The 26,552-nt window shown below is 36.4% G+C and overlaps 1 protein-coding gene, 1 long non-coding RNA gene and 1 pseudogene across 4 annotated transcripts in view; 1 reads left to right on the plus strand and 2 right to left on the minus strand.

Annotated features, from left to right (window-relative positions):
- LOC107984361 (uncharacterized) overlaps positions 1–26,552 on the plus strand; it is a 552,293-nt gene that overhangs the window by 450,221 nt on the left and 75,520 nt on the right. The window lies entirely within an intron of this gene.
- Positions 1–26,552, minus strand: part of RAB38 (RAB38, member RAS oncogene family) — a 371,729-nt gene that overhangs the window by 6,259 nt on the left and 338,918 nt on the right. The window contains exon 4 of one of the 2 annotated variants that reach the window (XM_017017455.3): positions 8,714–9,436. The exons of the other annotated variant lie outside the window; for it this stretch is intronic. The gene's annotated coding sequence lies outside the window, so the exon portion shown is untranslated. Of the gene's footprint in view, positions 1–8,713; positions 9,437–26,552 lie in introns of those variants that run through there. 2 annotated transcript variants of the gene reach the window in all.
- On the minus strand, positions 5,062–6,184 carry MTCYBP41 (MT-CYB pseudogene 41; annotated as a pseudogene).

A 26,552-nucleotide genomic window follows, 5' to 3' on the forward strand; every position in this document is an offset into this window, starting at 1 on the left:
GAATAAGCTACTCTTAAATTCTATGAATTTCATTATCTGTCAGTTCTCAAACATGTAAAATAACTAAGGGAAACATTTTTCCAATAATACTTCAAAATTTCTGAAAAAAATTGGATTGTCTATTATCATACAGACACAGAGGAGATAGGAGATATAAGGGGAAAGTAGACTTTACTTTTTCTTTTTTTACTTCTATTTTCCTATTTTTTGTTGAAAATATCCCCAGACACCTACTGTCACTCTTTCTATCACTATAAACTTGCTTCAATTATCTAGATTTTTATTATTTTTCTTTTGAGATGGGGTCTTACTATGTTGCCCAGGCTTGACTTGAACTCCTGGGCATAAGTGATCTTCTCACCTCAGCTTCCTGAGTAGCGGGGACTATAGGCATGCACCACCATGTCTAGCTCTAGAGCTTTTATAAAATGGAATCATACAGTGTGAACTTGTCTTTGGCATCTTTCATTAAGGATAATTATTTCGAGATTCATCTATGTTGTATGTACCAATAATCCCTATTATTTTGTGTTATTCAACATGTCATATACATGGTATCATGCAGTAAAAAAATAAGGAAGAATATGTACCATATATTTTAAGTTAGCCAGTAATCAAAAAGTGGAGGAAAACTGGTCCTAACGGTGTGACTTTGTTGTTAATAATTCTATGAGCCAATGGTTACATTCTTTCCACTGTGGTAGGGGCAAAGTTCTATTAGCATACATGTAGATAGCAAATAGAGTCTACTCATAAATCTTTCTTTCTGAAATGTAAATAGGGTCATACACCTACTTGCTTGAAATTTTCAACAGCACAATGAATAGAAGGAAAAAAAAAAAAACCTTTTTACCGGTGGATACAGCAGTGTATCCGTACATGTCTGCAGCAACTTCAATTCTTGCGTCCTCAGAAGAAAGAATTCAGCTGAGGGGCATAAGGCAGAAGAGATTGAGGCGAGTTTCAGACCAGGAGTGGAAGTTTATTTTAAAAAGGCTTTAGAACAGGAAAGAAAGGAAAAGTTGCCTGAAGAGACACAAGTGGGCACCTGAATGTCAAAAAGAGGGCGTTTAACTCTGATCCTAAGACTTTGTAGGCTCTCCTCTTTCCCAAGATTCTCCCTTAGGCTGGGTTTCCTGCATGTGCAGTGCCCTCCTTACCCCTGGGAACTGAGCACACGCAGCGTGTCTACGAAATTGTACACATGCCCATCTGAGGCTTTTTCTAGTGGAGTGTCCCTGGAAGTCACACTTCACCATTTTTCCTCTTAGAGCACATGCCCAGGAATTTTCTTCTCCCTGGCCTCTGCATTCAGTTAACACTAAAATGTCAGTAGCTGTGGATCATCAAGAGAGTGTCTCTCCCAGGTGCCCTGGTGCCAGCTGCCGAATTATCATTGTTAGAAAGGCAGTGTCATAATTGGGGAACCACGCTCATGCCTATCTAACTACCTGTAACAAATTCATGAATATAAAATACCTACACAATTGGCCTCTTCTTACCTCTTCAGGCCTGATTTCCATCCCTATTTTTAAGAACCACGTTATGGTCTGTACCTCTTTTGCTTGCAGGGCCCTCTATTTGGAATATTTACTCCTTTACCCACTTTCTTTGCTGTAGAATCTTTCAGGGGCTGCTGCTCTCAGTTGTACGGTGAACATTTATTTTTCCTCTTTTCTCTTCATAATTGTTCCCTCATTGTGGTTGTCTTAAACCTTTTATTGTGTTGCTTTTTAAATTCCAGGGGAAAGAAAAAGTCACCAGGGATTATATTTATTATTTGAAAAATTCTAAAAACTTCCCTTAAATACATATTACTCATATTTTATATATTAAGTACATAAGAGTTATAAAAATGTAAGAAATTTCCTGGTGATCTTTTATGGTTGAAAAGTGATTGAAATTGGGGAGAAAATGAAATGTGTACAATTTCAAATAGTAGCTTTTTCAGGTAGTAATTTTAGTGAGCCATCTGAATTTCTGTTGTTTATTTCACTTACATAATGAATACATTTTGTATCCTTGTGGAAATTCAGATCAATCTGGCTCCAAAAAGCTTTGCCAGAGGTCATACTATGAGCCTGGAGGTTTCTAGAGAATTTCAAATAGGTTAAGATGCTGTTAACTATGAAGCAGAGAAAAACTCAACATTTAGGAATTAGTATCTCAACTTTACCACCATTGACCTTGGGCAAATAACTTCATTTCATAATTTGTAAAATGAATAGATATGACCTGATTAGTGTCATTCTTTTTTTCAAGCCTCTTTTTGTTTTGCTAAATACAAAACCTTCCTTGTCATTCTTGGGGATGCTCTGATTGCCCTTAGGCCAACTTTACTCTTCTGTTACTGATGATTAAATCACTTCTGAAGCCATGTTGGACACTGGGCTGAGTCCACTTTCATCTTATTGGCTCTATAAATATACAAAATTTGAGGCTAGGAAAAAAAGTCAACACATTCAGTTTCTAAGGCTGAAGGAGACATGTAGTCGTATGTTTTGGTTGGAGAAATAGGGTTTGTATACATATTGTTGATATTCAATCTGAATATTATGAAGAGTCTTTTGGGATTTCTTAGTAAATGGGGCCCTGTGTGATGGTTTCCCAATGGAGACAAGCACGGTCCTGACTGCAGGCGCAGGCTGTATGCTTGACTCTTAAGCAGATTTACTGGTCTTGCAGAGGTCCCACACTGCTCATCATGTATCTTCTATTCAACTGATCAGCAGAATAGACTTCTTGGCTTTTGTGTAAAACGCCGAAAGATTGAATCCTCACGTCAGTAATTTCTGGTTGCTTGGAAACAATTCTCCTTTTGCCACTGTGAAGGAATTTAGGTCAGCAGTGAATTAATCCCTTACAAATTAGAGAAATATAGCCTATCATAAATTCTAAATTGGCCTGTTGAAGATGGGAACTATAACACTGATTCCACCTTTTTTAATGAATGAGAAACAAATTGAAAGGCAACATTCCAAAGAAATTCTCCGAGAATGAATAGTGTTATTTTACAGCAAGAAATGCCTGTTTTTATCAAGAAAGATCCAGTGATTCTTATGACCCACAGCCAAACAGGATTTTTTACCACTTCACATTAGTAGTATATAGCAATGAGGAGACAGAGGGAATAAAATGAAATGCGTCTCTGGGAGGGACCCTAATTCTAAGAGAATGCAGATGGTATTTTATATCCTTCAGTCTGATAAGAACCACAGAAATAACCATTTGAGAAACCTCACAGGATTTATTTCAAGTGATGAATTTTGGAAGGCGGTAAGGAGGAAGAAGATTCCCCAGCTCTTTTCATATTGTACCCAGGCGTTAAGATAATACAGTGTGTTGATAAAGAACTGTTCCAGGGCGAAATCAATTGGGCATGTTCAAGGTTAAGATTACTTTCTCTCCTTTCAGGAGGTAGATAACCAAGACAGGGAAAGTAGAGAAAAATAAGCAGATAAAAAGCCCTAGTTCATCTTCTGTGACTCAGAAAATAAAGGCATGCACACATATACATCATACACATCACACACACACACACACACACACACACACACACACATCTCTGTCAGATGTTTTATGCTGTTGCTTATAGTATTCTGGTGAATGATTTTGTTAATTTATTAGAGTTTAGGACTAAGCATAGTGGGGTATCTAACCCCAGTTTGGGTCTTACCTATTGTCTCTTCAGGGTATTAAAGCAACTTTCGTACCATATTTTATTTCAGCTGGAGTTTTTTTACAACTTAGACAGAGTTTAGCTTTATTGAGGGTAGATCTTAAACACTCTTTATGCCAAGTTCTGTTAGCTTGGGTTAATCGTATGACGGTGGTGGCTGGCACAAAATTAACCAATGCTAAATATTAGTATAGCTTAGTTAAACTTTCGTTTATTGCTAAAGATTTATCACTGCTGTTTCCCGTGGGGGTGTGGTTGAACAAAGTGTTTTGAGCTGCATTTGTGCATGCTTGGTACTTGCTCCTTTTGATTCAGGTGATCTAGAGGGCATTTCCACTGGGCAGGGATGCTTGCATGTGTAATCTTACTAAGAGTCAATAGAAAGGCCAGGAGCAAACCTATTTGTTTATGGGGTTGTGCAGACCCATCTAGACATTTTCAGGGTCTTGCTTTGAATAATTGACAACACCCCCAAGTGTTATGGGCCCAGAGCAAGGAGGGTAGTACTCCCGAGTGGGATGATGATTTCACAGAGAATGGTAGGTTAAGAGACTAAAGCTTGGTAGGGGATATCCATGTTGATGAGGATTAACTTGTCTATAATGTGCTATGTCCGACGAATGATTTTATGTACTATGTAATACTAGGGATTTTTAGTATGAGTCAATGTCCATGTTAGCTAGGTTTGTTATATGGATGTTCATCATGAATGTATTATAGCTGATCAAGAGATTTTCAGTACGTGCTTATATGCATGTGGATTAAGCTTTTAATGCACTTTTATATGTAAATATACTATGTACAATTAAGCAATTACAGTACAACTAGCAGTAATGCATGAAGTACATAAAAGCACTAATGTATAAGTGCTAGTTGGTTAATACTGACATGGTAAAGTGTGTGCTGAAGAAAGTACAGGGAATAGTTTAAATAGAATTTCAGCTTTGGGTGTTGATGGTGAAGCAGGAATGCTTTTTCCCTGAGTTGTCCTGGGGAGGAATTCTTCATTTCTGGTTTACAAGACCAGAGCATTGAATTATACTACAAGGGCAGTTTCATTTAAGTAGCTTATTTTCTTTTTCTTTTTCTTTTTTTTTTTGAGACAGAGTCTCGCTCTTTCACTGAAGCCTGACTGCAGTGGCACTATCTCGGCTCACCGCAAGCTCTGCCTCCGGGGTTCACGCCATTCTCCTGCCTCAGCCTCCCGAGTAGCTGGGACTACAGGCACCCACCACAGCGCCCGGCTAATTTTTTGTATTTTTAGTAGAGACAGGGTTTCACCATATTAGCCAGGATGTTCTGGATCTCCTGACCTCGTGATCCGCCCGCCTCGGCCTCTGAAAGTGCTGGGATTACAGGCGTGAGCCACCGTGCCTGGCCTTAAGTAGCTTATTTTCAATTAGGGCAGTGAGTGGTATAGGGTGAGGATGGTAGAGAAGTTCATAATGGATGCTGTCTGTCAAATAGTAACAAAAGGTTATTTGACAGGCTATCCTCCAATTCATGTGAGTGTGACAGGTCAGCCACTAAGATCCAGAAAAGGCACTGACTTCATGGATAGAATATTATGCTTTGTTGTTGAGACATGTAGAGTACAGAGATAACTGTTAAGATGAGAATGGGAGATCAAAGGGCTAGTATACCTCCTAGTTTGTTAGGGATGGATTGTAAGATTGCGTATGCAAACAAAAAGTATCACTCTGGCTTAATGTGGGGTGGGGTATTGAGGGGGCTGGCTAAACTGTAATTATCTCGGTCATTCAGGAGATCAGGCGAAAATAGTACTAAAATTATTAAGAGGAGGAGGAGAAAAATTAAGCCTAGAATATCTTTGGATTGTATAATGGGGTGGAAAGTGATTTTGTCCGAGATCCGTGAAGGATTGTTAGATCATGTTTCATGTAAGAATAAAAGCTGAATAGTTGCTAGAGCTGTGATGATGAAGGGTAAAATGAAATGGAAGGCGTAAAAATCATGTAACGGTGACTTTATCAACTGAGAATCCACCTCAGATTCATTGTACAAGGTCAGTTCCAATATATGGGATGGGTGATAGTAGGTTTGTAATTACTGTAGCACCTCAGGATAATATTTGGCCTCATGGGAGCATGTAGCCTATGAATGTGGTTCCTATAGTTGTGAGTAGGAGGATAATGCCAGTGTTTCAGGTTTCTAGGAATATAAATGACCTGTAGTATAAGCCTTGGCCAAATGTGTAGGAAGAGGCAGATGAAGAATATTGAAGCACCGTTAGCATGAAAATAGCGGACTATTCAGTCATAGTTTACATCTCGGCTAATATGAGTGACTGAAGAGAAGGCAGTTGAGGTATCTGATATATAGTGTATGGCCAGGAATAGTCCTGTAATGATTTGGAGAATTAAGCAGGCACCAAGAAGTGAGCCAAAGCTTCATCATGTAGAGATGTTAGATGGTGTGGGAAGATCAATAAATGAGTAGTTGATCATTTTTATTAGCGGATGCGTTTTGCATATTTTGGTCATTAGTGTTCTTGAAGTACAATGATGGTTTTTCATACCATTAGTCATGGTTATAGTCCATGTAGCAATAATGGCATATCCTTTATTTTTATTAAGTATTCTTTTCGTTATAAGGTTTGTAGGTTTTTCTTCAAAACCTTCTATTTGTGGGGGTCTAGTGTTAACTGTGGTGCTGTGGGTTGTGGTATTGTGTTAAATTTTGGTGGGGCTTTTGTGGGGCTAATAGTCTTTTTAATTTATTTGGGAGGTATAATGGTTGATTGGCTATACTGTGGCAATGGCTATTAAGGAATATCCTGAAACATGAGGATCAAGTGTTGACATTTGAGGGGCTTTATTATTAGGATTATTAATAGAGCTGGTGTTAATTTGGTGAATAATTGAATATGATCAGGTGGTAATATATATGATCTATAGGATCTCTCTCTCTCCTCATTGTTATATGCTACTAATGCGAGGTGGTAAAAAACTCTCTCTATATATATCATTCTCCTTTTGCCACTGTGAAATAATTCGGTCTAGATATATACATACGTGTGTGTGTATAGAGAGAGAAAGAGAGAGAGAGGGAGATCCTGTATCCTATAGACTTTATTTTTCTGAAGAACCCTTAATAATACATAAAATATGCTGTATTTTAAATATCCTGGGAGCTTGTAAAAATGCAGATATGGGTGACCCACTTTATTTCTGGGATGGAAGCTAAGAATCTATATTTTTACCAGGTACCCCTTCCAGATGATTCTAATACATACAAAGTTTGAAGACCACTGTGCTAGAACAATAACAGCATTTTGTGGAGCTCATTCTATATGAATCAATTATTAGGTTTATTATCATTCATAAGCTTATGTCATCCTTAGATTAATTTTATGAGGTAGGCAATATTAATAGACCTTAAATCACATGAAGATATTTAGGTAGATAAGCTAACACCTTCAACCTAATTAGGATTTTCCAACTGTTCAAATCAGGAGCTTCTACATAACTGCTAAATGTCAGAGCTTCCTGGAACTGCTATAAGGTATACAAATCGGTAGTGTTCCCACAAGACCTTGCTGAAAACTTTTAAACTTTTACCTAGTCAGAGCTGGTTCCACTCCAGAAAGACTCCTGAAGGATTTAAACATTTTATTACTCAATGTAAATGATAATTTTCAATGTATTCATTGTACCATATTTTTTTCTTACAGTTAGAAGAATCTTAAGAGATCAATTGAAACAATCCTGTAGTTTTATAGATTAAAGAAAGACTTAGGTTAAAACTCATTTAAGTCATTTAAGCAGCATCATTTGTTTAAAATATTGATAAATCGATACTAACTTAATTTTTTTGTCTTGAAATAGTTTAACATACATTCTTATGAGCTTGCTTCCTGGATTGAAGCTGCCTTATCTGAAAGCTTGGTAGTATGTCATTTTCTATTTATGAACCTTAATAAACATTGTAAAACTTAGGATAAATAAAGCCTTTAAAAGTTGGTTCACATATTCCTCAATTGGAAAAACTTCATTAATTGTTATTATTTTTATGCAAAATAGAGACTAGTCTGCTTTTAGGGACACTTTAAATATTCTGTCTGCATCAACTCTGAAAAATTCCAGTAGTATCTTCTAATGGCTGTGATAATCACAGTGTTTCATGTCATTCCACACAAGAGGAAATTATTATGAAGTAATTGATCATCTCAAATGCAGTCGAGGCAAAAAGATGAACTATTAATCAAGAATCTTAGTGATTAGATGGGCTCAAAGGAACAAAGTGATTGCAACATCCATTCGAAGTGTGAGAAGTGATACTAGAAAAATCATAGCACCCCAGGATTGGTTCTAAAAGCATCCCTTGGGCACAGCTGGCCTTGTGTAAAACTAGGAAAGATACAAAATCTTTTGTCCCATACTATTTCTCAAGCTTTGCATTTGTCAGAATCACCTGAAGGTCTTGTTAAAATACAGATAGCCGGGAGCTCCATTTCCAGAGTTTCTTTCTTAGTAGATCTGGGATAAGGCTTGATAATTTGCTTTTCTAAAAAATTCCTAGCTGGTGATGCTGCTACTAGTTTGGGAACTACTGCCCTAGTAAACATGCTGCCCTAAAAGAAAGGGAAAACAATTCATAATTTTTATATTCCTCAAACTAGTATGCCATATTTTAAAACAAATGAATGAACACGATGATAATAACACTATTGAGATTTACTTGGCACTTATTCCTGGTCCTGTGCAATAGGTCATTTAATTTTCTCAAGAATCCTCCCAGGTAAGTATTTTTATTACCTCCATTTTAGAGGTGAGAAAACTGAACAGAAGAGTGGTTAAGTAAGTACCCTGAAGTTACATGGATAATCAAAGACAGAGCTAAAATTTGGATACAGGCACTCTGACTCCAGAGCATAGGCTTGACACATGATCTATGCATACACCTCTCAAATAGAAATTTTTAATTGTGGCAATAAAATAAGCATTAGGGTCAGATAGACTTGAATGAAACCCAAATTTCACAACACTTACAAACTATAAGTGACAGACTTACTAGTTTTTTTAAAAAAATTTATTTTCTTGATCAGTCAAATGGGGCTAATAACACTTATTTTTGTAGGAATGTTAAAAAATAAAATCAAATAATGTATATAAACACTTAGATAAAGGTATAGCATATATGGGTGGTCTACAAATTGGAACCATTATCTGCTCATATCAACTGTAACTCCAGACCCATCAAGAATTAACTTCTCAATTTGTGATTTACCATTCATCCATTCAATTTTCACAAGTTAAATAATTCTTATGAAACAAGCCTTCATATTTTTCAAGAGCTAAAGGAAAAAATTATAAATTTATAAACTAGTAGCATTCTATAACACTGGTGATGAACTGGATTCAAATGAAGACCAGACGACTCTGATAGGTAGACTGTGTTTGCCAATTCAGGTTTGCGGATTTCTGTTGGAGTTCTATTTACAGCAGCCCCTTTGCCTACCCACTTCAAGTGACAGCTCAGGACCTGTGTATCTAGTCTTTTAGGACAAATGCCTTTTTGAATTTTGGTATTGCTGAGAAATAGGCAGTGTAACCTATTGAACAGTTGCCTCAACCTTTGAAGTGCTGAATCCATCTGTGGAGAGAGTTTTTACTTGACTCCTTTGGCTGCAGTAAATTCTCCATATGGTTCACTGCAGCACTGCAGATGTAGTGCTACCAAGTGTGTGATTCATATCTGCAGATAGTGTGGAGAGATTTCCATAGCAACAGGCCACTGAAAAACGAGAAAATGAGGAGTCAAAGTTACATAACAGGATTTTTTTTTATTGTTTTTTGTTCATTTGCTGAAAGGGCAACTGCTTTGTATTTCTCAAGAATTTCAATAAGGTAATATACTGGATTTAATAATTACATTAAAAATTAATTTCCCCTGTAGATTATGCCACAAAAAAGGAACACAGACTCTCAAAAGTACCTGAACTTTTGTCTCTCAGTTAATTGAATTACAAGTTAGGATCTCTTGGATATATATATATATATGTGTATATATATATATGTGTGTGTGTGTATATATATATATACGTGTATGTATATATATGTGTATATATATATATACGTGTATGTATATATATGTGTATATATATATATGTATATATGTGTGTGTGTATATATATATATATCCATCCATATTAGAATCCAGGCACTGAAATGAAAAACAGTCTCTATCTTCGAGAAGCTCTAAGCCTATTAAGGAAGAAAGAAACACAAGCAAATATATTCAACATTGATAGATACTGTGTTATGGGCAGCAGCAGGACTGCTCCTATTGGTTGGTTATACAGGAGGCCAATTTTATGGATCAACCCTCCTGCTGAAATATCCTAAAAAATTCTGGATAAGATATTAAAAATAAGTTTACATTATTAATAAGCTCTCAGGGAAGTAAGCAGTTCTCAGATCAGGCACTGATAAAGAATGGAAACTCAAAGAACTAATTGCTATTCTTAGTGCTCTGCAGCTGGCGTTCACTCTAAGGACAATTGCCAAACCATGTAAGCTTGCATTTCGGTTTTCATGGACTGATGGAGTGAAAGAGACAGGAAACCAAGCCTGATGTCTGCCAAAGGCAGGAAACCAAGTAGATTTCTCTGGCAAAACTAGGTCCTCGGGAGTGTAAGGACCTCTTCAATATAAGGATGAGCCAAAACAAACCAATAAAATCTTTCTTAGTGTCCTGAAGAAACAATTGTCTTTTAATAACAATAAAATGAGCTCCAAATGAAAAATGACAGTGTGAAAATTGAGAAACCTAACATAGTACTTGCCCAGATTTTCAATCTATAATCTCACCATCTGGTTCAAAAGAAACAAAGCCACATATTTAAATCAGAGTGGTCAAGAATTGGCAACATTTGGCAAATCAAAGGCAAATCAAACTCGGCAGTCTTCACCTTTTCCCAGGTCTCAAATGATTTTCATGCATGAAACTCTAAGGAAAATAAGCTTATGAAAATGAACTAAATTCACTAGGAAATGAGGTACTGTGAATAAGAACCAGCATTAAAGAACAGCAAACAAAATTTTATAAAATCATCACATAATAAAATAATCAGATCCAAATTATAAAATAACTCTCTAATATGCTTAAAGAAAAAAAGTTTAAAAACATGTATAGTGAATAAGGAATAGAATCAGTGACCATACTGGGAATAGTTTAAATAGCACAGGTAGCTTTGTAGCATATTAGAGAGAGAAGAATAAAAATTTAGTAAAGTAGAATATGGTTCTAAAGAAATTATCTGAAACTAGTATGAAGCAATGAGATGGAATATTTAAAAGGGAAGCAAGGATACATGGATGTTGGAGTAAGACAATCCAACATACATATCATCAGGGTTCCAAGAGGAGAAAAGGGAGGAACAGAAGCAATATTGGAATGAGTTTAGGCTGAGAATTTTCCAGCAGAAATAAAAGTCCAATCCACATTTTTTTTAAGTCCAATAAATCACAAGTAGGACTTTTAAAAAGCCGGGCACATTATATTTAAACCAAGGGAAATAAAGAACAAAGCACATTTTAAAAGCAGGCAGGCAGAAATGATAGACTACTTCGAAAGTAGTAATACAAGAAGAGTTGATTTTGCAGAAGCAACCACAGATGCTAGAATAATATGTTCAATGTATTGAGAGAAAATAACTGTTGGCCTAGAATTCTACACTCATTAGAAGTATGTCTGAAAAACAAGAGTGGAACAAAGGAATTTTCAGACGAACAAAACTTAAGTTTACCAGCAATGACTCTCTATAAAAAAATTCTTAAGGATATTTTTAAGGCAGAAGAAAATTCTTCTCAAATGTAACTGCAAGAAGCCAAAGCAAAGTAGTAAATTTGTGACTAAGTCTAAACAAGCACTGCTTATAAAGTATAATGAAGGCTGGGCACAGTGGCTCAGGCCTGTAATCCTAGCACTTTGGGAGGCCGAGGCGGGTAGATCACCTGAGGTCAGGAGTTTGAGACCAGCCTGGCCAACATGACAAAACCCCATCTCTACTCAAAATACAAAAAATTATCTGGGCATGGTGGTGGGTACCTGTAATCTCAGCTACTTGGGAGACTAAGGCAGGAGAATCGCTTGCACCCGGTGGGCAGAGATTGCAGTGAGCCGAGATCCCGCCACTTCACTCCACCCTGGGCGAAAGAGCGACACTCCGTCTTAAAAAAAAAAAAAAAGGATAATACAGTATTGGGGATTCAAAAATAAAGGTGAAATACATTATAATAATATTATATAAGCTGGAGAAATTGTGAATGGAATTAAGGTGTTTTATGGCTTTTGTATTTCTTAGCAGGTGAAAAAAACTGATTAATTTTAAACTTTGAGAAGTATGCCTCTTCTAATTACTGCAGTAACCATTTCAAACACAAAGTTGAAATAAAACACATTACTTCCAAATTAAAACAGGGACTAAAATAAGAAAAAAATACCAGAACAATTCAAGAGAAACCAAAAAGTGTAAGAAAAAAAAAATGTCATCCAGGTGAGATAAGTAGAAAGCACAAAATACAATAGTAGAAATAAATCCAAAATACATAAAAAATTGTTATTCTCTATAATTTAACAAAATATTACAGTTCAAAGCAAAAAATTGTCAGAGTGGATTAAAACAATCCAAGTACAAGCATGTATTAGATAATGATTGCTACATAAAAACTGCCCAAAAACGTAGTGTCTAAAAGCAACATACATTTTTACTTTACAGTTTCTGTGGGCCAAGAATCTGGGAATGTCTTTGCAGATGGTTCTTGGTCAGGGTCTCTCACAAGACTTCAAACCATGTGTTGACAGGTATAGTCATCTCAATGCTCAACTGTGAATGAATCCTTTTTGAAGGACCTCAGAAGGACTTACTAGCCTCAGAAGATTTTCCAGCTTACTCAAGTGAAACTCTCACAGTGCTATCTTACCATAGACAGCTGGCTTTCCCCAGGGCAAGCAATCCAAAAGAGAGTAAGAGAGAACACTTAAAGCACAAGCCACAGTCTTTTTATAACCTAATCACTTCCTTCATATTTAGTTCATTAGAAGTGAGTCAGTTTAAGTCCAGTCTATATACAAGGGAAGGATATTACATAAGAGAAGTAAATCAGGAGGCAGAGATCATTGGAGGTTGCCTACCCACATGATTTTTTAACAGGACACATCTAAAACATAAGGAAATAGAAAGAATGAAAAATGACAAACCAGAAAGGAAACTAATGCAATTATAGTAGAATCAGGTAAAATAGACATTAATACAAAAAGCATTACCAAAATTAGGGAATTACTTTATAATGATAAAAAGTTAATTATAACAGGGAGATGAAAAATATTAAAGTCTTGTTAAATGACATCACAGCCTCAAAGTATATAATCCAAAACTTGACGAACCTACAAAGAAAAACAGACAAATCTCCAATCATTATAGACAAAAGAGTTAATAGATAGATTTGAGTCATGTAATTAAGAAACTTGATTAGCAGACATACATAAAAACTGTAAATAGCTGCCTTAAACTCATGTGAAAGATTTACAAAATATGTGATACTTGTATACTGAAAACCAGAAAACATTGGTCAATTAAATTTTTGAAAAATCTAATTAAATGGAGGGATATACCAGGTTCGTAGATTAAAAAACTGAATATTGTTAAAATAATAATTCTCCCCAAATTCAGCTATAGATTAAATATAAGCCCAGTTAAAATCCCAGCATTTTTTTTTTTTGGTAAAAGTTGAGTTGTTTCTAAAATATATATGAAAATTCAATGGATGTAGAACTGCTAAAACACATTTTTAAAAGAAAAAATTTCCTTTTACACTAATCTATTTCAAGGATTAGTAGAAAGCTTCAGTAATTGAGATAGTGTGGCATTATCTAACATAAGAATAGAAATATGGATCAATGGAACAGAATAGAAAGTTCAGAAATATATCCACATGTCAATTGATTTTTGACAAAGTTGCTAATGTCATTCAATTTGGAAAGTAAAGTTTTTTTTCAACAAATGGAACGCAAATGGTCGTAGCAATTTTATTCATAGTAGCCAAATTAAACACTGAAAACCACCCAAATGCTCATCAATAGATGAACCGACAAATAAAATATGATATGTTCATACAATGGAATACTATTCAGCAATAAAAAGGAACACAGATGATTTTTAAGAAGAATATACAGAGTGAAAGAGGCTAGACTCAGATAAGTACATATTATATAATATCATAGAAAGCTAGTACACAATGTCTGTGAAGATATGCCAACAAGACACATTCAATTTCACATTGCTATATTTAAACAGCTCATGAAATTAAAGGCTTTAGTTTTTGTTTTATTTTGGAAAAAATATTGAAGTTTTTGTTGAAAGATGAGGATTAGTTAAAAGCATGTAAAAAGAGCAATTTGCCTCCAAAATCCTCCTCCCCATCTCTGTGCAGACAGATTGCCATCCCTTCCCCAGCATGGTGGGAGGGATGTTTATAACTGCATAGGTGAAGATGAATCACTGCACTAGGATTAAGAGAAAAGTCTACATGTTGAGCAGTGAGACTATCAACTGCCTTCCCTCTGAACAGTAAGAGAAATTGGCCCACTAGAAAATATCTACAGATGCTAATATTTGGAGGCTTTCCAGAAAACATTTGGGTCTCTGCCTTATTACCCCACATATCACATACCCCAAGGTGCAAATCAATTATATAAGGCCTCCTTCTAAATCTAAATCAATGATCAAGAAACCCTATACATGTGTATAATTACAGGTACTAAAATAAAAGTCAGAAAAATGAACATAAAATGTACTTGGAGGAAACATACAAAGTTAGAAGAACAAGAAAGCTTAAAATAAAAAACTGTAATTGACAGTTCGGAGACAGAAGGAAGCTATCGAATCCACTAAAAAATCATATCAGTATCCAAAAAGACACTAAGAGATTAAGAGAGAGCTTCTGGAAATTTAAAATGAAGCAAATAAAATAATTACATAGAAGAATTGAAAGAGAAAGCTGAATAAATGTCCAAGAAAGAATTAACAAATAGATGGAAAACAGGTGGAAAAAATAGAAGTAAATTGGAGGATCATTCCAGGAGGTCCAAAATGCAGGAGATTTCTATGCAGAAGCCTAGAGACACTAGAGGTGAGGACTGTGAAAAAAGAAAGTTAAACTTTCCCAGTAATCAAGAACATGTATTTCCAGATTAAAAGAGCCTATCAAGTACCTAACACTGCAAAAGATGAAGGACCACCAGTAAGGCACATACATCATTGTGAAATTTCAGAACACCTGGAATGAAGAACACTTTTGAAAGAGAGAGAGAGAGAGTGAGTGTGTGTGTGTGTATGTGTGTGTGTGTGAGAGAGAGAGAGAGAATGAATCAAGAATAGCATCGAACTTCCCAACACCAACAACTCTGGAAGCTAGAAGGCAATGGAGCCTTCTGGAAGACCAATTATTTCCATCAAGAATCCTACATCTAGTCATTCAGTTAAATTATATAGTAAAATAAAGGAATTATCAGACATGCATTATCTCCTGTGCACCTGTTATAAAACAATCAGAATATTAGTGAAAATGAAGGAACAAATTAAGAAAGGAAGGAGTTCAGAAAAAAGAGTCCTCATTGACTATTAGGGATGCTGTGTTAGTTTGCTAGGGCTGCCATAACAAAATAACACACACTGGGTAACTTAAACAACAGAAATATCTTTTCTCACAGTATTGGAGGTGGGAAGTCCTTAAGGTGCCAGCAGGGTTGGCTTCCTCGAAGTCCCTCTTCTTGTCTCTTCACTTGGCTGTCCCTTTAAGCACACATAGCCCTGGTGTCTGCTTGTATGTGGTTATCTCCTTCTCTTGGAAGGAAACCAGTGCAGTTGGACTAGGGCCACCCTTATGGCCTCATTTTAATTTAACTACCTCTGGAAAGATGCTATCTCAAAATAATGTCATATATTGAAGAATCTGGGGTTAGGGCTTCAACATATGAATTTTTGGTGAACACAACTCAGTCTATAACAAAGGCCTAAAGAGGGAAGCAGTCCTGGGTAAGGCTGGAGGACAAGGAGTTTGGAAGGATGTAGAGAAAAAGTGGAGAGATTATTGATTGTATATGCTGTCAAGAGGTGATTGACTCTTTCATGGGAGATTTTGAGAAAAAGCAGTAATAGGGACATCATTTTTAAACAAATCATTAAACAGTTAACTTCAGAGGACTAAATGTGTACAAAATAGTCATACTAAACTACATAGTTTAGCTATAAATTATATTTACATTGTTACAATAATAAAAAATAAATGGTGGTTTAATTAAAAATTGTATAATATAACTGTTTTGGGAAGATGAAGAAAAATATTGGGAAATTGGGTAGTAGTGCAAGAATGAAGTCTCTATCCTCCATAGTAGAAAGACAATAGATGTTTAAAATGGTAAAAGTGAGTGATAACATAGTCATGTTATTTAGAAATATAAAGGTATATAATACGAGAATCAATGAAAAGTTTTGAAAATGATATCCCCTAGGGATGAGGATTCAGTGGTAGGAGTAACAGGAAATAGGACTATGTACATATCTTTGTTTGATAAAATGAATTTAATGTGGATGGTCAGAACAATATTACATTGCTTTCTTTATTTTAGATTATAAGATTATGCATATTTATTGTAAAAAATTTGAAAAATAAAGGTGCCAAAAGAAAATATTTCATCATTAATGTAGTTAATGCACACACATGCTGCACTTGCTATTTTATAATCTTTTATTACTTAAAAGCATATGGTGATTTTACTGTGACATTGCTTTTTATATATTTTTTTAAAAAATAAAAATGCAAAGAAATCCAAAGAAGAAAAATACTAACTCTCCTTGGAAAAGACAGGAAGTGACATTTAACTGGGTCTTAACATATAATAATAAAATGATTGAGCTCTTTCTGAGTCAGTCAATTTGCTAACTGCTTTACATACATCATATTATTTAGTTCTCCTAATAACTCTTAAATTTCCATTATAAATCTCAATTATACAGAGTAGGAAACTACGGCTTGGCAAGAATTTTGTTCAAGTTCATTTGGCTAATAAATGACAGTGCTAGAACTTTAAATACCACAACCACCAGGTAAAAAGTGCTGTGGGTGTTGGTCTAGAACACACCCAGATAACCAGCCTCCCTGACTCCAAGGCCTGGGTCATTAACCTCTTCACCATACTCAGTAGCTGGGTAAGTGAAGGAAGAGGGGAGGACACTGTTGACAGAATAAATTATATATAGAATAGAAGAGTGAGGACTTCAGGCCTGGTTTGAGCCTGACATTTCTTTTTCCTGTGTGGATATCATGGTATTTGTGGACAGGGATTTGGCTGAAAAGTTTAATTGAGGTAACAATAAGGAGTACCTTGCCTAACATGGACTTCTATCAACAAGCCTCTGGTCGTCAAACAGGGACATCCATACCAGTGATGAACATCAATGTGAAAGGAGTCATCAGTCTTAACTGGTTAGTAAGTAATTTAAAACATTAATTCTATATGATAACAAATATAAATATATCATGGAGTAGAATGGAAAACTTATGAATTTTTAAGTTGAAGCTGAAGACTTCAAAGTTTTTATTTTTATTTTTATTATTTTTTTTTCTTTTGGCTGGCTTTTATGACAATCTTGTGGATCTCAAGGGTCTAGGTTTGATTCTCTCTCATTAGGAGCTCTTTATTGGAAAGTTTTAAAGTAGTACTCTATGAACAATAAGAATCTGATTGAGAATAACATGATTGATCAGATTTGTTTAAAATGTTATTTCCCCCTAAGGAAATATCATAATGCATAACCATAGTAACAACAAAAATGCAATCATGGCTTTTCTTTTACTGAACCTAGACTGAAAATATATTAATTTTCACTGATAGTGTTGATTTAGGAAGAATATTAATGAGTGAGAGCCATAGAAATAAAAAAATCTCCAAATCCATATTACTATAATATAAACTGACCTGTCTCAGAATATTTCTTGACACGGTTAGCCTGTTTTCCCAATGCTAAAATAATCAGTTCACCTGGAGACCAGAATTACATGGAGAACTTCAGACAAAACTCATCAGCACACTGAATTTATCTCTTCTCAAACAGAGATTCTGGCAACCTATAGAAGCTGCTCTAAACTGTACCTTACGAAATAGCGAAGGAAGTTGTCTGTTGTAGTTAGATTTCTAGAGGGAAAAAGATAAGATTAAAAACTGACAGCTTCTAAATGCAGTGTAGTATTCTGGATTGGATCTTAGAACACAAAAAGAACATTAGTGGAAAACTGGTGAAATTCAAATACAGCCAGGAGTTTAACTAATAGTAATTTACCAGTGTTGGTTTCTTAGTTTTGACAAATGTATATGGTAATATTAGTGTTAGCTGAAAGTGGGTGAAAGGTATATGGAAACTCTGTGCTCTATCTTTGCAACATTTTTGTGAATAAAATTATTCCAAAATAAAACATTTATTAAAAATATTTAAAAACCATTGACTTCAATGTTATGAAAACAGAAATATTTGTTGATTTGATACCAAATCCTCAAATAATTTTTAAAACTATTGCGTTATGTTTAAAATTTCAAAAATTTTCACCTTCTTGCTTAGACTATCAAGAATGCCTTGTTCCTTCAACATTAAGAACTTTGTCATGTTTACTAGATAGATGATCTATTTCCATCAAGATATTTTAAGTTTGATACTCATTTTTAAATCCCCATTCTACTACATTTGGCAGTTAAGAATGTTTAAAAGGTATGAGTATCTCTAATCTGTACTGCAGACAATGGGTTTGCATCCTTTCCTCCTGCCATGAAACACATGCAATTATGATAGGAAAGCAGTGGTGAGAAGAGGTGTTTTCTGCCTGTTGCATATAGCCAGTGAGTAAGGATGCTAGGGAAGGTAACTAGGTTCTTCTTGCTCAGAGGGCAAGTGCTGGACAGTGACACTGCAGAGGCTCATCCTGTGCACAAAGGTATGGTCTCCATGCTGTACTTTCTAATCTACCTTTTTTGGGTAATTTATTCTTCAGTAATTGCTTATTCACTGACTTTTTCTGTAATTACTTTTTTTCAATTTGTTCATCAGCTTTTCTGATTGCCAAACAATGTGCTTTAAATTTGGTGAGCTGACTCTGTGATGAATGATTATAAATGCACATATTATTTTTTCTTAAACATTTTTAAAAGCTAATTTATCCACAACTTCCTGTTTGAATATTGCAGTCATTTAAATAGATTTAGGAAAAGGCAAACTCTATAACAATCTTTAGTGAAAGATACATTTGGGACTTAAAAACTCGAAGGGAATTAATCTCTGATTCACCTTGAAAGTACTCTGACAAATATCCTCTCTTTTGCTTCCATGACTACAAAATTCTGATGTTTTCAGATTAACCTAGGATAAAATTATTGTATGCTTTATACATTTTAGAACACTCCTGCAAAGGAGTTGGTATTTCTTAAGATGAGGAAATGGAGGATTAGAAAGGCAAGTAACTACACACATAGAAAATTTAGGGAAGATCATTAACTATTGGGTAGTATGATCACCACCTGGGTGATGGGATTAATCGTACTCCAAACCTTAGCATTAAGCAATATACCCATGAAACAAACCTGCACATGTACCCTGTTGTATCAGTTCATTTTCTCACTGCTAGAAAGACATTTCTAGCTATAAATTACCTGAGACTGGGTAATTTATAAAGAAAAGAGGTTTAATTGATTCACAGTTCCCCATGGCTGGAGAGGGCTCAGGAACCTTACAATCATGGCAGAAGGGGAAGAGGCAAGTCTTACATGGTGGCAGGGGAGAGAGAGTGACCAAGAGCAGGGAGAACTGCCTCATAAAACCATCGGATCTTGTGAGAACTCACTCACTATCACGAGAACAGCATGGGGGAAAATGCTCCCAGGATCCAATCACCTCAACACCTAGGGATTACAATTCAGTATGAGATTTGGGTGGAGACACAGGCTTAACTGTATCGCCTCTGAATCTAAAATAAAATACAAGTTTAAATTATTTTAAAAAACAAATAAATTTAGGGAAGATCAGGCAAGAAACTGTGCATAGGAGGTAACTCTCAGCAGTGTGGATAGTGAGGTATAAGGACAGAGGTGATATTATCTCTCCCTACTTCTGAAATTTCAACTTTACTAATAGCACATATTAATTTAACAATCAAATATCTTCATGAAGCAAAATTACCTAATGATTGCGAATTTCTTGTTTCTTATGATGTTTGATCTATATACAATGGAATAATTTGTGGGTGTCTTTGCTTCCCAAATTATTTCCTGATTTCTGTCAATTGAATAGTCAGTTCAGTCAGTACTCCTTTGAATCAATTTTCTGATTTTCCTCTACCAGATTAGCCATCTAATATATTATTATTTTTCAATAATATTCAGACAAGAATACTTATTAAATACTTACTCTGTGCCCAGAATTATATTAGACATTGTGGAAGGTGCAGGATGGTGGTAGAAATAAAAACTAACAATCGGCCAGGTGAAGTGACTCATGCCTATAATCCCAGAACTTAGGAGGCTGAGGCAGGAGGATCTCTTGAGCTCAGGAGTTTGAGACCAGTCTGGGCAACATAGTGTAACCCCCCATCTCTACAAAAAATTAAAAATTAGCTGGACATGGTGCCGTGTACCTGTGGTCCCAGCTACTTGGGAGGCTGAGGTGGAAGAATAGTTTGAACTCCAGAGGTTGAGGCTGTAGTGAGCCATGATTGTGCCACTGCACTGCAGCCTGGGTGACAGACCAAGGCACTGTCTCAAAAAAAAAAAAACTGCTCGAAGCCTAATAATGGATAATGTTTATTGAGTCCTTGTATGCTAGAGAGCATTTTTAAAGCCTTACATGAATTACCTTATTTTATTTCCCACAACAACCCAATGAAGTAAACTATTATAACCCACCATTATATATTATACATTGTACACTATTTATTATATTGTAATATGATGTAGCATAAAATTTAATATAGGATTGATAGATTATAATGATATGCTCTAATATCAAATATATTAGATATTACCCATCATTTTATAGATAAGGAAATTAAATTTTAATAAATTAAATAAAATTTAATTTCCTTATCTATGAAATTTTGAGACAGGGTCTCTCTCTGTTGCCCAGGCTGGGGTGCAGTGGTGTGGTCTCGGCTCACTGCAACCTCCATCTCCATGGCTCAAGTGATCTTCCCACCTCAGCCTCCCAAGTAGCTGGGACTATAGGCATGTGCCAATCTGCCTGGCTAATTTTTGTATGTACATATTTTTGATAGAGATGGGCCTTTGCCATGTTACCCAGGCTGGTCTCAAACTCCTGGTCTCAAGTGATCCACCAGCCTTGACCTCCCAAAGTGCTGGGACTACAGGTGTGAGCTACCGTGCCTAGCTGGAAATTACGTTTTAGAGAAATTAAGGAAATTGCCCAAGGTCAAATTGCTGATAAATGACAGGATTTGAATCCAGCACATCAGACGCCAGAGCTTAACTGCTTAATTTTTTAGATGGCTTTTTGAGGGGTTTACTACATAGCTGGAGAGAGACAAGATGCACACACCGTACCCCAAAACCCCATCAAAAGCCATACAAAATAGTATTAGACAAAAGCCATAGTTTATGCTTAGCCCCATGTCTGTCACTTCAGAGGCATGCATTTTAGGGTTGTGGAATAGACTAAATAAGTGCCAAAGAGCATGGATCAGGGCCTCAGTGCTGCAGGAATTCAGATGAGATCAATGAGATGTAGTGTCGCTAAGAAAGGCTTTGTGAAAAAGGTGGACTTTCAAGTTGGGGCATGGCATTGTTTAGATAGGAAAGCCCAAAAAAGCATGAGCAAAGCCCAAAGGTAACAGTGAGTTGTGGATGTATCTCCATCAGATAGGAGACCATTTGGCTTACACAATGAGTACATGCTGAGAAAGGTGAGAAATAAGTCAGAGAGGACAGGGAAGCCCTGAGACTGGTACCTTGGAAGCTTGGCTCAGCAGTCTAGATTTAATGTGAGTGATGGTAATAATGGTGACAATAACAATAAATAATAAACAAGCTTTACAGTTGGCCCTATGCTTTCAAAGACATAATCTTAATGTATGTGTTTGTAGAATATTAATGTGGCAGAAAATGGATTGCAGTAGAGAATGCTTAGATTCAGTGAGGCTCATTAGGACATTACTATTAGCCAGAAGTGCAAAAAGGAGTTTGAGCTAGGTTCAGGGTAATTAAGGGGACCTGGAGGATGTAATAGCTATTAAATGTCTACTATGTGCCAAAGACATTAAATATGCTGTGTTAATGTTCAAAAGAAATGTTATATATGACATCTGACATGAGCTGAAGGCCTGGTTCCAACACTTACTAATTGTGTGATATTAGGTAAGCTATTTAAATGTTCACTGCCTCATTTTTGCAGTAAAATACTTGTTGAGCATCTATCAAATGCCAGCATTGGACTAAGTCTAGGAAAAGAATGGTGAAATAAACAGACACTGTCCTTGTGCTTATGAAGCTTACACTCTATGAGGAAGACTGATATTAATATGTAAATATATTAGTTTTCTATTGCTGCATTAAAAGTTATCACCAATTTAGTGGCTTAAAACAATCAATCAGTCACTTAAAAAAATCCCACTAGTTTATTTCTCACAGTTGTGTAGTTCTGAAGTCCGGACCGGCTCAACTGGTTTCTGTGCTCCTGGTTTCACAAGACAGAAATCAAGGTATCTGTTACCTGGGCTCTTATTGGACGGCTTTGGGAAGACTTGGCTTCTGAGCTCATTGAGATTATTGGCAGAATCTAGTTCCTTGTAGTTGTGGGACTGAAGCCCCTGTTTTCTTATTCGCTGTCCACTGGGGGCCTCCCTTAACTCTCGCAGAACTCTCTCCAGTCCAAGCACCCAGGCCCCTATATCTCAGAGGCAGCACGGCGTGCCAAATCCTTCTCACACTTGGAATCTCTGACTTCTCTTTGTTCCCCAGCTCTCTGACATCCTCTTTTACTTCCATGTGGAGAGTGTACTCTCCTTTTAAGAACTCCTGACTAGATTGGATCCACCTAGATCACTCAGGTGGATCACTCAGGCTTTGTATTTTAAAGTCCCTAACCTTAATTCCAACTACTAAGTCCCTTTTACCATGTAACGTAACGTATCACAAGTTCCAGAGATTAGAACATCTCACAGTGGGGGGTGGGGGGACGGAGGACATTATTCAGCTTAGCAAAACTTCCAAAACATATCACAATTATGCTTAGTTCTCTTTATTTCCACAGCCCCAAACCAGTCTTTCACACGGACTGTTACCATAGACCCAATTAGTCTTCCATTTAGACTGTTCCCGTGGACTTCTAAACAGTTTATCTGCTTTTGTTCTTGCTCCTTTCTAATCCCTTCTCACAGGGCAGCCAGAGTGATCCTCTAAAATGTGTTGCTCAGTTCCTATCTCTCTACAACTTCCATTGTTCTGACAGCCAAGTTCCTCATTCTGACCACACAGACCTGTGGCACTGACATCTTTTTTCTTCTTTAGCCTTTTTTTGTTTCACTCTACCTTCACTTCATCAGGCTGAAGTAACAATAACCTACTTGTAGTTTCTTGTATAGAACGGTATTTTCTCACTCCTGAGTCTTTTCCCATCTAGAATTCTATGTCCATGGTGCTTCCTCCACTATCCTACCTCCTCCCAACAACCTGGTTTTAGCTTTCTCCTTCCTTTTTCCATGAGTTCTGATCTTAAAAATCTTTCTGTTGACATCTCATTAGAAACTGGTCCCCATGTGTTTCACATAACAGAGTCTCCCCCTTCATAATGTCGATTTGTAATGATAACAGATAATTAAACACAGCACTTACTTTATACCAGGCATTGTTCTAAAAACTTGAAATATAGTAACTTATTTAATTTTCTCAAAAATCTTGTAAGTACTGTTATCACCTTCATTTTACAGGTGAAGAAACTGAAGTACAGAGTTGTTAAATAACTTGTCCTAAATGATAGCTAACAGGTAGAAGAACCCAAGGAATCCAGCTTCATAGTCTACCCTTCTAACTAATAAGTAACATTGCTATTATCTCTAATGAGGTATGCATGTGTTTTCTTATTGTGGTTGATAGAATAATGTCCTCCCAAAGAAGTCCATGCTCCAATCCCAAAACCTGTGAATATGTCACAAAGCATGACAAAATGAATTTTGCAGTTGCAATTAAGGTTATTACTCAGCTGGCTTTAAGGAAAAGTATAATTAATTATCCAGGCAAGTCCAGTCTAATTACATAGGCCCTTAAAAAGCAGAGAACTGTGTCCAGCTGGAAGCTAAGAGATGCAAGGGAAAAGGAAATCAGAGAGATTCAAGGCTTGAGGGAGATTGGAGTTGTGGTTGTTGGAAAGCATATGGTCCATTTGGACCGTATGGAAAGCATATGGAAAGTCGTGGTCCATTTGGAAAGCATATGAAGAAGGAATGCTGTGGTCAGGAGCAAAGACCAGCCACCAAAGCTAACAAGGAAACTGTGACTTCAGTCCTACAACCACAAGGAACTGAACTCAGCCAGCACTTTAAATGAACTTAGAAAAGGATTCATCCCCAAAGCCTCCAGAAGAAAACACATCCCTGCCAACACCTTCATTTTAGTCTTATGAGACTCTAAGCTGAGAACTAGCAGAGTCGTGTTGTATCCGGACTTCTGACCTTCAAAACTGGGAGGTAATAATTGGGTATTGTTTTAAGCTACAGCGTTTGTTTTGATTTGCTGTATTAGCCATAGAAAACTAATACAGAGATTAAGTAATCAGGGCTTAGTTATGACTGGAAGTGGCAGAGATGAAGAAATGGGGAGTGCTAATAATAAAGGGTTTAGGATTGAGAAACTTGGATGTCATTATTTAGTCAACAGAATTTGGGGCGAAATTCAGTTGAGGGAAGGATTTAGAGCTCAAAAGTTCTTTGTTAAATATATTGTTTGAAATATGTAAACCTGGTAGTCAGATAATATCAGTTTAGAGCTCATTGACAGGTCCTGAGTTTAGAACATGCATTTAGGAGTCATTGACATGCAGCATCATTGCTTAATCTATAAACTTGACAGTAGAACTAGTTGTGGTGAAGGGTTGCTATGAGACACAAATGGCATAATACTAGAGCAGTGCCTGGAATTTGATAAATGCCCAATAAATGTTTTGTATTATGATTTCAAATTTATGAGGAAACTGATGCTCAGCAAGTTCCAGAAACTTGTCAATGTGTCTGGAAAATGGAGGAGCCAAGGCTTCAACCTAGATCTGCCCATTATGCAGTTTGTTCTCTTTCTCCTGTGCCATAGGAGGTAGTAAAAAGTCTTAATTCAATCATGTAGAAGCATCCCTAGGTGTTTTCTTTAGTTGTCAGGTTTAGAAACATGAGAAACCAAATCTGACTAATAGAATTGGAGAAACGAATGTATTGGGTGACTTACAGAATCCTAGAAAAGCTGGGGAACTACACTAAGTAAATGAGCAGAAACCAAGGGAAGCCAAGGGGCAGGAACCAGCCAGAACTATTGGATGAGTACACCTCTGCCACCAACTGGAACTAGGCTGTGTGGTGGGTACTGTCACCACCAAAGGCACCAGATGCTGGCTATACTTGTGGTCACTGCCAGTCTGGATCTCGGATGTTGTAGCAATCATCTCTGAAGTGTTTGGAATAAACTCCCTACTGTCTCTATTTCTTTTTTCTCCATATTAAGCCCCGGCTTAGGGCATTTTAGCAGATATTCTGTTATGGGCCAAATTGTGTGTCCTCGCTTCCCCCCACTGAAGTTCTAACCCCTAGTACGTCATAATGTGACCTGTTTTAGACATAGGGTCTTTAAAGAAGTAATTAAGTTAAAGTTGTTAGGGTTGGTCTTAATTCAGTATGACTGCTACCCTTATAAGAAATAAAATTTTGTCATAGTCATATACAGAGGGAATACCATGTGAAGACAGAGGGAGATGTCCATCTACAAGCTGAAGAAACAGACCTGGAGCTGGTCCTTCCCTCACAGCCTCAGAAGGAACCAAAACCTCTGCCAACACCTTTATCTTAGACTTCCATTTTCTACAACTGTGGGAAAATAAATTTCTGCTGTTTAAGCCACCCAGTCTATGGTATTCATTATGACAGCTCCCAGCAAACTAATACAAATATGAAGGAGATTCACATAGTAATCCCTTGCTTTGCCTGATTCTTCAATTTTACCCATTGACATCCAGGACATCTTTTCTTCTCAGCATTAGAATCAGGTCCAGGACACCAAATACAGCTTTTAACCTATACTTTTTCTTCAACAAGTCTCAAAATATCTACATAATATACAGCCATAATAATGTGGGGGAAGCTTTCTAGAATAATGCAATTTCCCCTATGTAAGGAATGCTAATGAGCAGATTCTTCATACTAGAAAACTGACTATAAAACTGATAATTGTACTAGTTATGGTAAAGAGTTGTCATGCTAAAGTCTTTATGAAAGACTTGAGCCCTTCAGACAATTTCACCTCTGAAACACTCCACTGAAAACTAACTTTGGGTTTTGTAAAAACAACTGTGCAGTTAGATGACTAAATATATTTCTCTTTAATCTGTCCTTTCTCTGGCATTCCTTTTTCTGGCAAATAAAAGTTCTATCTACCTGATTTCTCAGTCCAGAAACCTGAGTATTTTTTTTTAATAATTTCTGATTCACCTTCCCCGTTCAATTAATCATGGTGTGCTGTTGACTCAAATACCTAAAGCAGTAGTCTACCCCATCCATTTTTCTCATGCCCTTTGCTACTATCTGAGCTCAGCATACCA

Source organism: Homo sapiens, chromosome 11, assembly GCF_000001405.40.
Source record: "Homo sapiens chromosome 11, GRCh38.p14 Primary Assembly".
In the NCBI taxonomy this organism is placed as follows: domain Eukaryota; kingdom Metazoa; phylum Chordata; class Mammalia; order Primates; family Hominidae; genus Homo; species Homo sapiens.